This window comes from Homo sapiens, chromosome 8, assembly GCF_000001405.40.
Source record: "Homo sapiens chromosome 8, GRCh38.p14 Primary Assembly".
Taxonomy (NCBI): Eukaryota; Metazoa; Chordata; class Mammalia; order Primates; family Hominidae; genus Homo; species Homo sapiens.
In genome coordinates, this window is record NC_000008.11 from 22,501,868 (window position 1) to 22,517,819 (window position 15,952).

At 38.6% G+C, this 15,952-nt stretch overlaps 1 protein-coding gene and 1 long non-coding RNA gene across 7 annotated transcripts in view; one reads left to right on the plus strand and one right to left on the minus strand.

Annotated features, from left to right (window-relative positions):
• PPP3CC (protein phosphatase 3 catalytic subunit gamma) overlaps positions 1-15,952 on the plus strand; it is a 100,048-nt gene that overhangs the window by 60,790 nt on the left and 23,306 nt on the right. For all 6 annotated transcript variants that reach the window (XR_007060744.1, NM_001243974.2, XM_047421941.1 and 3 more), the window contains exons 5-6: positions 9,219-9,364; positions 11,426-11,565. Coding sequence is in view for 5 of the 6 variants with exons in the window: in NM_001243974.2 (NP_001230903.1) it covers positions 9,219-9,364; positions 11,426-11,565 (286 nt within the window). In the remaining variant the exon portion in view is untranslated. The remainder of the gene's footprint in view (positions 1-9,218; positions 9,365-11,425; positions 11,566-15,952) is intronic.
• LOC124901905 (uncharacterized) overlaps positions 1-15,952 on the minus strand; it is a 72,590-nt gene that overhangs the window by 20,332 nt on the left and 36,306 nt on the right. The window lies entirely within an intron of this gene.

Here is a 15,952-nt window from a genome sequence, read left to right on the forward strand (position 1 = left end):
CTAGAATTCAGTCAGCCTGCATGGTGGTACAAGCCTGTAGTCCCGGCCAGTTAAGAAGCTGAGACTGAAGGATAGATTGAGCCTGGGTGTTTGAGATTACAGTGGGCTATGATTGTGCCACTGCACTCTAGCCTGGGTGACAGAGTGAGACCCTGTCCCTAAAAATAAATAAATAAGTAAATAAATGTTCACCTGATTAGATCAGGCCCTCCCAAGATAATCTTTCTTTTGCCATATAATGGGACAAAATAATGGGAGTCTCATCATACTTACAGTTTTCATCCACTGAAAGAGGAGTGGATTATACATACAAAGATGTAGGTCAATGCAGGTCATTTTAGAATTCGTCTACCACACAGATATACTCACAAAAAGATAGTAAAATATGGATGCTTAAGGATGTTCACTGCAGTGTTAATTGTAACAACAACAACAACAACAAAAAGGTAATCTAAATGTCAACAAGACAGTGATGAAATAAGTGATAATATGCTTTTGAACAATGGAATGCTAGGCAGCTATTGAAAGACCAAGGTGGCCGGGTGCAGTGGCTCATGCTCATAATCCTACACTTTGGGAGGCCGAGATGGGGGCATTGCTTGAGCCCAGGAGTTCGAGACTAACATGGGCAACACAGTAGTAAGACTCTCTCTCTACAAAAAATTTAAAAATTAGCTGAGTGTGGTGGCATGTGCCTATAGTTGCAGCTACTTGGGAGGCTGAGGCAGGAGGATTGCATGAGCCCAGGAATTCAAGGCTGCAGTCAGCTATGATCACCACACTCCAGCCTGGGTGACAGAGCAAGACTCTGTCTCCAAAAACAAAAGACAGGCAGACCAAGGTAGACCCATAATATGTACTGATATGGAGAGATGCTAAGATATTTTATAAGGCATTTGCAGAGCATGTAAATGGTCATCTCCTTTGTAAATTAAAAATATATAATGTACAGAAGAAATCATTAACAGTGGGAGGTTGGGTTAGGAGGACTTAGAGGGTTTTTTTGTTTTGTTTTTGTTTTGTTTTTGTTTTTTTAGATGCAGTGTTGACATGTTGCCCAGGCTAATCTCAAACTCATGCAATCCTCCAGCCTTAGCCTCCTAAATAGCTGGGACTATAAGTGCATGCCATCGCGCATGGCTTACTTTTAATTTTATATCCTCTCTAGTATTGTTTGAATTATTTTTTACCACCACTATGTACTACTTTTATAATTATTATTATTTTTCAAATTGGTAATTTAAAAATTACCCAGTTGGGGCCCAAGCATTTGAAAAGCTTTGTAAGCACCCAAGGTAGTTCAGCTGTGTGCTGCTGGTTAAGAACGACGGCTCTGGAGTCTTTAGGAAGCTTCTACTATCTGTCGTTTGGGAACCACTTCACCAAATACAAAAATGGGAAATATTTTATTTTATATTATTTTTCTAAACCAAATTTTAGGGTATTCCTTAACACCTTCATTTCTTACCTGGGAAAATTAAATAATGTGTATAAGTTAACAAATGCCCTGGAATGTAATACTCGATAAAAGCTAATTTTATGAATTAGGAGTAGATACGTAGTGAAGAAAGCTGCCTATGGCTGCCTTTGTTTTGAATTAAGTTTCAGAGGGTTTTTTAGGTGACATTTTTCTTAATTATTCTTTTGTCTTATCAGATTTTTTTTATTTTTAATTTTTATGGGTATATAGTAGGTGTATCTATTTATGGAATACATGAGATATTTTGATACAGGGATGCAATGTGTAATAATAACATCAGGGATTTTTTTGACAGACTATTTTTAGAAGATGGAACAATAGGTCCTGGAAACATTTTAAGTATCTCCTTTTGCCCAGAATTTCTTACCTTAGGTTTTTATTTGCTTTTCACATGATTTAACTGTAGTTAAACCTGATGGCTTTCTTTTTCTCCTATCTACCAAGATATTCCTTCTTTTTTATTATAATGCTGCATCTGAAATGTAAATAAATCTTGGAACAAGCACACAGATTCAAGTATAAGTTTAAAATTTTATTCTTGTATAAGGAGAGAGCATGTGTGTTGCTCTGCATGGGTGTTTTTACTGATAAGCTGATCTCTCTTCAGTGGCCACTGTGGCTTTTAGAACTAGCATCTTATCATTAATAAGGGAGGCTTAGTTTCAGATTGTGCAGCTGTAATCTTGTTCATGTTTTTAAGAGGGAGGTGGGTGAAGGCTTTTCTTGTATCAATCTTAAATTGCTTTATAATGCAGAGATTTTTTAAAAAATATTCCTTTCTTTATGGAAAAGTAATAATGTTTTTTTTTAAATTGATGTATAATAGTTGTACGTATTTTTGAGGTACATGTGATATTTTTACTATATGTATACAATGTATAATTATTATCAAGTCAGGGTAACTGCAGTATCCATCGCCTCAAACATTTATTTTTTCTTTGTCTAACAGTTAAACAAAATTTATTTTTTTAAGAGACAGGGTCTCATTCTGTTGTCCAGGCTTGAGTACAATTGTGTAATCATAGCTCACTGCAACTTTGAACTCCTGGGCTTAAGTGATTCTCTTGCCTCAGCTTCCCGAGTAGCTGGGACTGTAGGTGTGTGCCACCATGCCTGGCTAATTTTTAAATTTTTTGTAGAGACTGAGTCTCGCCTATGTTGCCAAGGCTGAACTTGAACTCCCCAAAGGATCCTTCCGCCTTAGCCTCCCAGAGTGCTGAGATTACAGATGTGAGCTGCCATGCCTAGCCCCTAACAGTTAATTTTTGACATATCATTTGTTTTTGCAAAAATATTTCTTCATTGTTATGTACTTAGAAAGCAAGAAACATAGTGCCTGCCTCCCTCCCTCCTTCCCTCCCTCCCTCCCTCCCTCCCTTCTTTCCTTCCTTCCGTCTTGCTCTGTTCCCTAGGTTGGAACACACTGGTAAAATCATTGCTTACTACAGCCTCAACCTCCCAGGCTCAAGTGGTCCCTACACCTCAGCCTCCTGAGTAGCTGGGACTACAGGCACGAGCTCTCATGCCCAGCCTATTTTTATGTTTTTATGTATTTATTTATTTATTTTCTTTGAAGGAACCTCGTGTTTATATTATTCCACAAATACTCTGGGTGCAACCTCATAGCTCTGGATCAGAGTTTCTAAAGTAAATGAATTTCTTATTTCCACGAACCTATTTTTTTTTTTTTTTTTTTTGATAGGGAGTCTCGCTTCGTCACCCAGGCTGGAGTGCAGTGGCACAATCTCGGCTCACTGCAACCTCCGCCTCCCAAGTTCAAGTGATTCTCCTGCTTCAGCCTCCTGAGTAGCTGGGATTACAGGCACGCACCACCACGCCTGGCTAATTTTTATATTTTTAGTAGAGACAGGGTTTCACTATGTTGGTCAGGCTGGTCTCAAACTCCTGACCTCGTGATCCACCTGCCTCGGCCTCCCAAAGTGCTGGGATTACAGGCGTGAGCCACCATGCCCGGCCCTTCCATGAACCATTTTTTTAAATGTATAGTTAAATAGCTTACTGACAAGTTCCAGAAACTCCTGTAATTTTACTAATGAAAGCAGTATTGTTATGACAACTGGATTTTTTAAAAAAATAAATACTGTTTGTCATTGCTCATTGCAGCATTTTTTAGAGTAGCAAAAGATTGATCTAATTAGATTGTGGTATATCCATAAAGCGAAATACTAGGTAAATGTTAAAAAAATTACAAAGCTCTCCTGTAGGGGAGGCAAAATTTTACCTTTACTCTCAGGGTTTTTCAGCTGGGCCTGAGAATTAAATTGACATGAGATAAATTAATAGGAGAAGAGCATATAAATTTATTTAATATAAGTTCTACATGACATAGGAGCCGCTATAAGGAAATGAAGATCCAGAGACTCAGAGTTGAACACTTACATGCTGAATCGGACAAAAAGTAGTAAGTTGTGAAAAAGTAACTAAATGATGTGAGGAGGCTAGAAGATAAGAGTTATTTGAATTCAGTCTCAACTATTAATCCTTGGTGATAACAATGTTATTTTCCTTCTAGTACAGGGAGGGCATCTTTTCTTTTTTTTTTTTAACTTTTATTTTAGGTTCAGGGGTACATGTGCAGGTTTGTTATATAGGCAAACTTGTGTCATAGGGGTTTGCTATACAGATTATTTTGTCACCCAGGCACTAAGCCTAGTACCCAGTAGTTATTTTTTCTGATCCTCTCCCTCCTCCTACCCTCCATTTTTAAGTAAGTCTCAGTGTCTGTTGTTCTGGGAGGGCATCTTTCAAATGGGAATTTCATCTCCTGCTTTTAAAAAGCAGCATGAGCCAGGCACTGTGGCACGTGCCTGTAATCACAGCTACTTGGGAGGCTGAAGTGGGAAGATCGCTTGAGCCCAAGAGTTTGAGACCATCCTGGGCATGTAACAAGACCCCATTTCAAAAAAAAAGAAGAAACAGCATGAAGGCCAGAGTGATCTTCTTGTACGTGTGGTTTTTCAAGTGCCTTTAACTCAAAGTTGTCAGTGTGCCAGAGTGGTGTATTTTGGGGTGGCATATTCTTAACTCCACTCTTCATCTGAAGATGTGGCATGATAGCCAAAATACGTTCTTAAGTACGAAAAGCAAGTAAAGAACAGTACATATATGCTATCATTTATGTAAAAACCAAAAGGATGTTTTGGAAAGAGAAGAAACATATATGTCTGCATGTGTATGCATAGAACATCTTTGTAAAGACACCCAGGAAACTGGTAATATTGGTTACCTGCAGAGAGAGGGCAGGAGGCACATTATACCCTTTTGTGGCTTCTAAAATTTGAGCTATGTTGGGGCCAGGCACAGTGGCTCACGCCTGTAATCCCAGCACTTTGGGAGGCCGAGGCGGGCAGATCACAAGGCCAGGAGATTGAGACCATCCTGGCGAACACAGTGAAACCCCGTCTCTACTAAAAATAAAAAAAAATTAGCCGGGTGTGGTGGTGGGTGCCTGTAGTCCCAGCTACTCGGGAGGCTGAGGCTGGAGGATGGTGTGAACCCGGGAGGCGGAGCTTGCAGTGAGCCGAGATTGCGCCACTGCACTCCAGTCTCTCAAATAAATAAATTAATTAATTAATTAATTAAATTAAATAAATAAAAAATAAAAAATTTGAGCTATGTCTCACGCCTGTAATCCCAGCACATTGGGAGGCTGAGGTGGGAGGATCTCTTGAGGCCAGGAGTTCTAGGTTGCAGTAAGCTATGATAATGCCACTGCATTCCAGCCTGGGTGACAGAATGAGACCCTGTCTCAAACAATAATAATAAAAAATAAATAAAGCAAATAAAAATTGAAACAAATATATCATCAGTGACTAGACCAGATTGTGATTTCTTGCAAGTAGTGCTGACTCTCAAAATTGCTTTCAGATAATTTTGTTGAAAATTTTGTTTTGTTAATGTTGTATTATTGATACTAGTTAGAACTTGTATCAGTGTCATCCTGTGGCTGTAATGCATTTTCCCTTCACTATAGAAATAACTGTTTTATGGGATATATCCTAAAATTTGTCTTGAAAATAAAGCAATTGAATCAGCTAATTTAACCTCTGGGAATTATGTATTTGGCTATTTAGATTCTCCTATTCAAAATCTTATTTAAAAATAATGATTAGGAGGAATATTAGAGGGTCATTAAGAGCATGAACAGGTTTAAGTCTCAGTTCTGCCAGTTACTTGCTTGCAGCTTTGGGCAGGTAAGCCTAATTTCCTCAGTTTTTAAATGAAGACAGTAATAATACCTACTTCACAGGGTTTCTGTGAGTATTAAATACTTTCATCAGTTAACACAGTATGTACTAAGTGCCAGCATTATTCTGCATATTTTACATAAATGAATTCATTTAATCCTCACAGCAACCCTGAATCTACTGTTTAGGGTGTTATTATTATTATGACCATAGATAAGGAAACCAAGGCACAGAGAGTTAAAATTTTTATCCAAGGTCCCATAGCTAGTATGTGGAGGGGGCTGCAGTTCTTCAAATCAGGCAACAAGTTCCAGACTCCATTCTCTTCACCACCATGCCATGCCAAATGCTTAACTCACTGACAGACACATCATGAGCCTTCAATACATTTAAATAATAAAGGTAATATAGGCCAGGTACAAGTGCAGTACCTCATGCCTGTAATCCCAGCACTTTGGGAGGCTGGGGCAGGAGGATTGCTTGAGGCCAGGAATTGAAGACCAACCTGGGCAGCATATCGAGACCCTGTCTCTACAAGTAATTTTTAAAAATTAGCTGGGTGTGGTGGTGTGCGCTTGTAGTCCCAGCTACTTAGAAGATTAGACAGGAGGACCACTTGATCCTAGGAGCTTGAGGTTACAGTGAGCTATGATTGCACTACTGCACTCCAGCCTAGGCAACAGTAAGATCCTGTCTCTAAAAAAATTTTTTTAAAAGGTGGTATAATAATAAATGTTATTATATAAAGATTACATATTCATCATAAAAAAGAAAGAACAGCTAAACTAAGAAAAATATAGATACCATTGTCAGTCTAACCCCTCAGAAAATTAAATACTGGTAATTATATATGCAATTCATATACTTTGAAAAAATAAACATGGTGATATTTCATAGCCTATTTTATTCACATATTAATATAACATGAACTTCTTTTTGCTTAATTTTTGACCTCCTGTTTTAATTTACAAAATGACAATACACTTCCTTACTTGTCCAGACTTGGCATTCTTTTTTGGAAGTAGGCTAAGGAATTATTTTGAGTCATTCTTGGGATTGAAAGGCATTTATCAATGTAAGATGTTATGGAGCATAAATTAATAAGTAATTGAAATTCCTACCTCTATTCAAGTGTGGAACTCCCATGGAGGAATTCCTTACTGACACTGGCAACAGAGGGAACTCTGGTTCCTAGGATTTTCAGGAGAAAAAGTCAATCACTGACCACAAATTAAAGAGTTTTCTGTTTGTTTTTTACTTCCAACAGACTTTATGGCCAATGCTGGATCTACTTTGAAATGGGCAAAATTTAAAACAAAGCAGAGTATAAGGATGTAACTGTAAGGAGAGGCAATGATGCATAAGACATGGTTCTTGTGAACTTTGAGCTCCTAATAAAGTTAGCATATGTTGTGGAATAGATTATGCTGACTGCTACAACAGCAATACAAAATGTTCTGAAAACCTCAAAGAAACCCACAGGCTCCCTTAATGAACTCAAACCCTAATCACCCAGTATTGGCGTTAAAGAGAAATCTTCACACTCAGGGATGGAAGGCCTTACAACCTCAAGCGTGGTCTACTGGTTTACACTTTCCTTAGGGATCTCTCTCTTAATCATTCCTGCCACCCATATAGTACTGCAGTCTGGCCCAAATCTGGACCCATCATTCTTCACTTTATTCCCCAAAACCTTGCCAGGACCAGGCTCTGATCCTTAAATATGTCTTTCTAAAGGCTTAGAGATCACAAAAAGGAAATAAACACAGAAATAATTACCAACTAGATAGTCTGACTCACTCGATACAGCTTTGGTCTCTTGGTCCTGTAGGCCACCTCATCTTCCCAGAATCCTGGAAGAGGAGAAGGAGCTCACGGTTCTGCAGGGTTGCCTGACTATATTTCTCGTCTTCTCTACCCACACACATCCCTGAGCACAGCTTGACTTTTTGAAACCAAGGCCAAGGAAGAAGAAAATGTTCCTTTTTCTCTTTAAACACCCATTTTCCAGTTTCCCACCTATTATTTCATGACTTTTCCTTTCCAGAGATTTGTAGAGACTCCTCCTTCCACCCACTGATGTATTTCCTTATTCTGTAGCCCCAAGTTGACAGCCACATCAAAATATAATTTATTAAGCCAAACATTTATTTTTTATTGTTTAGAGACAGAGGCTCACTCTGTTGCTCAGGCTGGAGTGCAGTGACACTATCGTAGTTCACTGCAGCCTCAAACTCCTGGGCTCAATCTATCCTCCCACCTCAGCCTCCCAAGTAGCTTGGACAGCAGGTGTGTGCCACCACAGCCAGCTAATTTTGTTTTTCAATTTTCTGTAAAAACGAGGCCTTGGCCAGGCGCAGTGGCTCACGCCTGTAATCCCAGCACTTTGGGAGGCCAAGGCAGGCGGATTGCGGGGTCAGGAGTTTGAGACCAGCCTGGCCAACATGGTGAAACCCCGTCCCTACTAAAAATACAAAAATTAGCCGGGCGTGGTGGCGTGTGCCTGTAGTCCCAGCTACTTGGGAGGCTGAGGCAGAAGAATTGCAAGAACCCGGAAGGCAGAGCTGCAGTGAGCTAAGATCCCGCTACTGCACTCCAGCCTGGGGGACAGAGCAAGACTCCGTCTCAAAAAAAAAAAAAAAAAAAGAGGCCTCACTGTGTTGCCCAGGCTGGTCTCAAACTCCTGGCCTCAAGCAATCCCCCGACCTCAGCCTTCCAAAACATTGGGATTACAGGCGTGAGCCACCACACCAGTTTAAGCCAAATGTTTTTAGAGAAAATAGAATCAAGACATAATTTGTTTACAGACCTTAAAAATTATGAGCAAAAACATTATTGACATTTTATTGATGTCTCTTAAGACTCCAGTTTCCACTTATATATCTTCAACACCCCTAAGAGATCTTTAAGACCCAATAAAATATTCAGACTCACAAGACTACCATGGACCCTAGTTGTCATCCATATACTTAAAAGGATATAGGTCAGGAAGGGCAGCACTGGGCATTCCTTTTCAGTGGAGTGGTCCTCACAGGAGTGCATACCGCAGTCCAGCAGCTTTCCATCTCTCTTGCCCCCTCCCATCTTCTCACCAGCTCAGGTACAAGGAAATATCCACAGTGGGAAGATTAGGGAGCCATCCTGGTATAGAAGCCTCGTGCATCAAAAATGTCAATGTGTGTTGTAAAACTACCTTCAGAGGAGCCCAAAGCTATAGCTTCCCACCAGGTAACTGGGTAATTTTTACCACAAGCCATGTTGCCTAATAACACAGTGGACAGTCACCTTATCACATTTCCAAGCAACAGAGCTGGAAAGTTAATCCAAGGTCACACTTGTCTTTAAGAGGAGAGAGGTATTGTTAACCTATTATCCACAACTTTTCAAAAGTATCTTTACAAAGATAATTGTGCTTTCAAATCATCTAAAATAAATGGCTCTAAAGTAGCTTCATATTCTCCTGGCCTATATCCTTTTTCAAATGTGATACGTTTTAGTTCTTCCATTGACTGGTTTTCCTTTTTTGTTAGGTCGAATCAAATATTCGGAACAGGTGTATGATGCCTGTATGGAGACATTTGACTGTCTTCCTCTTGCTGCCCTCTTAAACCAGCAGTTTCTCTGTGTACATGGAGGAATGTCACCTGAAATTACTTCTTTAGATGACATTAGGAAAGTAAGTAATCTTTTATTATTCTCACAGGGAATATTTTTAAAATGTGTTGGGTTTTTTTGTTGTTGTTGTTTGCTTTGAGACAGAGTCTCTCTCTTTCACCCGGGCTGAAGTACAGTGGTGCTATCTCAGCTCACTGCAACCTCCGCCTCCCTGGTTCAGCCTCCCGAGTAGCTGGATACAGGTGCACACCACCACACCTGGCTAATTTTTGTATTTTTAGTAGAGACGGGGTTTCACCATGTTGGCCAGGCTGGTCTTGAACTCCTGACCTCAACTGATCTGCCCACTTTGGCCTCCCAAAGTGCTGGGATTACAGGTGTGAGCCACCGCACGCCTGGCCTAAAATTTGTTTCTTATTGCAGTCAACCAATATATCTTTAGCTGAAATCTTTAAAATATAGATAATGAAAAGTAAGAAAATGGAAGTTACCTCTGATTTCATCACTATAACTACTGTTAACATTTTGATATGTACCTACCACAAATTATAATTTTTAATGAGCTCTATGTTTTTACCAACTAGAAAGCTAACATTCTTGTAGTATAGTCCTGAAACTTTGAATTATATCGCAGTGCAAAAGGAAGGAAACCAGGGTTCTAATCACAGTCCTGCCATTAACTGTGTAACCTTAACCAAGTTATTGAACCTCTTAGTCACATTTCTTCTCTATGAAATGAGGAAGTTGGAAGGGATGGTCTGAGGACACTGCCAGCTCCGAAATGCATTGGCTTTGACATTTTAGATGATAACGGTTTCATTGTTTTACTTGCCTTCCTTGGTGATTATTATTTCCAAGATTCTGTATCTTCATTATGGAAAAAGATGACCAATTTTTATTGTACATGGTTGTCTTATCTTCTCTACCTTTGAATTCTTCTACCTGTCTCTCTGTCTTTTTTAATCAAAGTGATAGATACTCATCCTCTCTTACAGGTACTGAGACTAAAAATTTTTCTGTTTATAAAACTATTTTCTCTGAAGAAAGTCTCCTCAGGGTAAGAGGGTGTACCTATATGTACTGGCTTTCCTCTTGCCTTACTGTCTTTTAAGTAACCAGCATTTCTCTTTTACATAGTAAAATATGAATTTTATAATTCTGAATCAATTGTATCAATAAAAAGCTCTTTCACGCAGTAGAAATTCTCTTCTTGGCATTCAGCTATTCTATTACTTGTTTTCTCTTGGTTTTTATGCTTTCAACTAAAGCAGCAGTGACTAAAGGCTTAAGTTAATAACTCATATTGAAATACCTCAACTGCATAGACTGGAAAGGATAAATGCCCTTACAAAATTAGCATTCTTTAAAATAAAGAAATCTCCACTGGAATGAGGTTTGCAATGAACAGAACCATTGTAAAACATTTCTGCTGTCATGGTAACATTGGCTCACCTAGACAAATAAAATTAATTTTATATAGTCATAGTCTTTCTAAAATAGTATATCTCTATAGTGGTTGATTTCACATTTGAATTAAATTAGCACTGCTTTACGATTAGGATGTAAGAGGGTCTTTTACTACAGTATGGTTAGATGACAGGGATGTTTATAAAAATTTATTGCAGACCGGGCGCGGTGGTTCACGCCTGTAATCCCAGCACTTTGGGAGGCCGAGGAGGGCGGATCACCTGAGGTCAGGAGTTCGAGACCAGCCTGACCAACATGGAGAAACCCCATCTCTACTAAAAATACAAAATTAGCCGGGTGTGGTGGCACATGCCTGTAATCCCAGCTACTAGGGAGGGTGAGGCAGGAGAATCGCTTGAACCTGGGAGGCGGAGTTTGCGGTGAGCCGAGATCGTGCCATTGCACTCCAGCCTGGGCAATAAGAACGAAACTCCGTCTCAAAAAAAAAAAAAATTTATTTCAGAAAAATAATAAAAATTATGTATCTAAAATTGTTAAGTGTTCCTTTTCTTGCAGGAAAGTCCTTTAGGGGCACACTGGCTTCTCTCCTAATACATTCTTGTGGGTGAAAGGGGTTTTTCTTTGACACATACTAGTTTCCAAGAAGCCTTTTGCTCTCCTGATTTTTTTCTTTTGGCTTTTGTGTGTCTTCTAGTTAGACAGGTTTACGGAACCTCCCGCCTTTGGACCTGTGTGTGACCTGCTTTGGTCTGATCCCTCAGAGGATTATGGCAATGAGAAGACCTTGGAGCACTATACCCACAACACTGTCCGAGGGTGCTCTTATTTCTACAGGTAAGCTAGTCCTTGAGGTCGAAAATTATGAAAGGAAACTGTAATTCATTTTATCAGATGATTTTTCAGCATTTTATATTTCAAATCTATGTAGTATAAGCACTCCTGTTTAATTTTTCGATTAATAGGAGGCAAGAAACTTGTTTGTTTGTTGGCTTTTTATATTTTCTTAGGTATATATCCTAAGAAGTGTAATACACCAAACATGATTGGACATCCTGCAGTGCTCTGATATTTTTGTCTGACTCTAAGTGATCTAGACTATTTGTTCCTAAACATTATCTATACACTTTTTTAAAAAAAATTAAAGCTTTCTTGGCTCTTTCCCCAGAGATTCTAATACACTAGGTCTGAGAGGAATCCTATTGTATTTTCAAAAGCTCTCCAAATTTTGTAACCACTAGTATAGACTAAGATATAAAAAGAACAGGACATTGTGAACTAAGCCCAGTACATTTCCTGGAAGTTGGCTGTTGTTTTAAATTTCACAGGAGCTTTCATTATGATTAGACACTCAAAAATAGGAAGACAGGCAGGGCGTGGTGGCTCACGCCTATAATCCCAGCTCTTTGGGGTGCCTAGGCGGGCGGATCACTTAAGGCCAGGAGTTCGAGACCAGCCTGGCCAACATGGCAAAACCCCATCTCTGCTAAAAATAAAAAAATTAGCCAGATGTGGTGGCAACACGCCTGTAATCCCAGCTAATTGGGAGACTTCAGGCAAGAGAATCACTTGAACCTGGGAGGTGTAGGTTGCAGTGAGCCAAGATTGTGCCACTACACACCAACCTGTGCAACAGAGCAAGACTCTGTCTCCAAAAAAAAAAAAAAAAAAAAAAAGGAAGACATAAGAGAAGTTGGAAATCTAAATTATTTTTAATCCCAGTATTTTATTGTGGCAAATAATACATATGTTTATTTCCCTAAAAATCTCTGTTAATTGGCTAAGATAATGTGTTCATTAGAATACACACATGCACACACACATGAAACTTTGATTTCGCCATTACTTTTAGCATTCTTCTAAACAACCTTTTTTTCTTTAAAAAAATATTTTTTAAAATTTTTGTGGGTACATAGTAGGTATATATATTTATGGGTTATATGAGATATTTTGATATAGTCATACAATGTATAATAATCACATCAAGGTAAATGAGTTATCCATCACCTCAAGCATTTATCCTTTGTGTTACAAACAATCCAATTATTACTCTTTTATTTATTTTATTTTTTGTTGTTTTTTTTTTCACCTTTTTTTTTTTTTTTCCTTTTTTGAGACGGAGTCTTGCTCGGTCACCCAGGCTGGTGTGATCTCAGCTCACCGCATCCTCCACTTCCCAGGTTCAAGCAATTCTCCTGCCTCAGCCTCCTGAGTACTGGGATTACAGGCACCTACCACCATGCCTGGCTAATTTTTGTGTTTTTTAGAGATGGGGTTTCACCATGTTGGCCAGGCTAGTTTGGAACTCCTAACCTCAAGTGATCCACCCACCTCAGCCTCCCAAAGTGCTGGGATTACAGGCATGAGCCACTGTGGCCGGCCTCTTCTAGTTATTTTAAAATTTACAATTAAATTATTATTCACTATAGTCACCCTGTTGTTTAAATCTCACAGTATCAAATACTAGGTCTTATTCATTCTTTCTGACTGTTTTTTTCGACCCATTAACTATCCCATTTCCCCTCTTACTACCCTTCCCAGCCTCTGGTAACCATCATTCTACTCTCATCTCCATGAGTTCAGTTGTTTTAATTTTTAGCTCCTACAAATAAGTGAGAACGTGTGAAGTTTGTCTTCCTGTGCCTGGCTTATTTCAGTTAACATAATGACCTCCAGTTCCATTCATGTTGTTGCAAATGACAGGATCTCATTCTTTTCAATGGCTGAATAATATTCCACTGTGTATATGTACCACATTTTCTTTGTCCTTTCATCTGTTAATAGACACTTAGGTTGCTTCCAAATCTTGGCTATTGTGAACAGTGCTGCAATAAACATGAAAGTGCAGATGTCTCTTCAATATACTGATTTCCTTTCTTTTATATACATACATAGTAGTGAGATTGCTGAATTACATGGTAGTTCTGTTTTTAGTTTTTTTGAGGAACTCCAAACTGTTCTCCATAGTAGTGTACTAAACATTCCCACCAATAGGATATGAGGGTTCCCTTTTCTCGACATCCTCACCAGCATTTGTCATTGCCTGTCTTTTGGATAAAAGTCATTTTAACTGGGTGAGATGATATCTCATTGAAGTTTTGATTTGCATTTCTCTGATGATCGGTGATATTGAATACCTTTTCATATACCTGTTTGCCATTTTATGTCTCCTTTTAAGAAATGTCTATTCAGATATTTTGCTCATTTTTAAATTGGATTATTGGATTTTTCCTATTGAATTGTTTGAGCTCCTTACATATTCTGGTTATTAATCTCTTGTCAGATGGATAGTAAAAAGTCTTTTTTTCTTTCTTCTTCTTTATTTTATTTTATTTTATTTTATTTTATTTTATTTTATTTTGAGACAAGGTCTCTCTTTGTTACCCGGGCTGGAGTGCAGTGGCACCATAACAGCTCACTACAGCCTCAACCTTCTGGACTCAAGCAGTCCTCTTGCCTCAGCCTCCTGAGTAGCTGGAACTATGGGCATGTGCCACCATGCCCAGCTGCTTTTTTTATTTTCTGTAGAAACAAGGTCTTGGCTGTTTTGCCCAGGCTGGTCTTGAAGTCCTAGACTCAAGTGACCCTCCCTACTTGGCCTCCCAAAGTGCTGGGATTACAGGGATGAGCCCCACCCAGCCAACAACCATTTTTCATTCCTCCATGCCAACTTTTCCAGTGACTAATGTGATGAAATCATTTAACTTTTATTTCTTTTTACATTGCTTAAAATAAAGAGCATAATACATATTCATTGTTGTCAGAATAGAAATTGGTACAATTTCTGTGGACATCAACTTGGCAATATCTTTCAAAGGTATTTGTACATGGCCTTTGATCCAGAAATTCTACTTCTAAAACTTAATCCTGTAGATATATAATTGATTCTCATTACTTGTGGATTTCATATTTGTGAATTCCCCCACTTACTAAGATGTATTTGTAACACCCAAATCAGTACTTACAGAGGTTTCATAATCATTCATGGGAATGTAGTGTGCAATGCAACAAAAAATTTGAGTCACCTCACTCACATGTTCCTAGCTGAGGTTGAACAAAATGATGCCCTACCTTCTTTTTGCAGCCCTCATGTTGTAAACAGGCATTCTTTTGAGTTTTATTTAGTGAAAGATGTTTTATGTTTTTGTGCTTTTCATGAGTGATTTCACTGTTTAGAATGGCCACCAAGTGTAGTGCTGAAGTGCTGCTGTCTAGGGTCCCTAAGCACAAAAAGGCTGTGGTATGTCTTACAGAGAAAATATGCGAGTGTTAGATATAAGCTTTGTTTAGGCATGAGTTATGGTGGTTTTGGCCATGAGTTCAATGTTAATGAATCAACAGTGTAAATGACCTAAAGTATTATTACACAGAAACACATCTGAAACAAGGTTATATATTAATTGGTGGGTGAAAATGTTATGACCGGAGCCTCACAGGAACTTCACCCTGTATTTCCCTTAGCAGTAGTGTTTCATTATTTGCTAATTCTGTTTTTGCAGCAACATTATAGAATGTAGCTACTGGGAATAATGAGATAAAAAATTTGACTCACCCAGCACACATGTTCCCAGCTGAGGCTGAACAAAGTGATACTCTGCCTTCTTTTATCCCAGGGATAAATCCCATTTAGCCACAGTATATAATACTTTTAGTATGTTGTTGAGTTTGGCTTTCTAGTGTTTTATGGAGGATTTAAAAATCTATGTTCATCAGAGATACTCACCTGTACTTTTCTTTCTTCTGGTGTCTTTGGCTTTGGTATCAGAGTGATGCTGGCCTCATAATGTGAGTTTGGAAGAATTCTCTCTTCTATTTTTTGGAAGGTTTAAGAAAGATTGGTATTAATTCTTTTTTTTAATGATTAATAGAATTCACCCATGAAACCATCTGGTCCTGTGCTTTTCTTTGTTGAGAGCTGTTTGATTACTGATTCCATCTCCATATTTGCTATTGGTCTGTTTGGGCTTTCTATTTCTTCATGATTCAGTTTTGGCAGGTTGTATATTTCCAGACTCTATCCATTTCTTCTGGGTTTTCCAGTGTTTTGGTGTGTGATTATTCGTAATAGTCCGTTATGATCCCTTTTATTTCTGAGGCATCTATTGTAATGTCTCCTCTTTCATTTTTTGTTTTATTTATTTGAGTATCTCTTTTTTTCTTAGTCTTGCTAAGGGTTTGTCAATTTTGTTTAGTTTTTCAAAAACCAACTCTTAGTTTTGTTGAC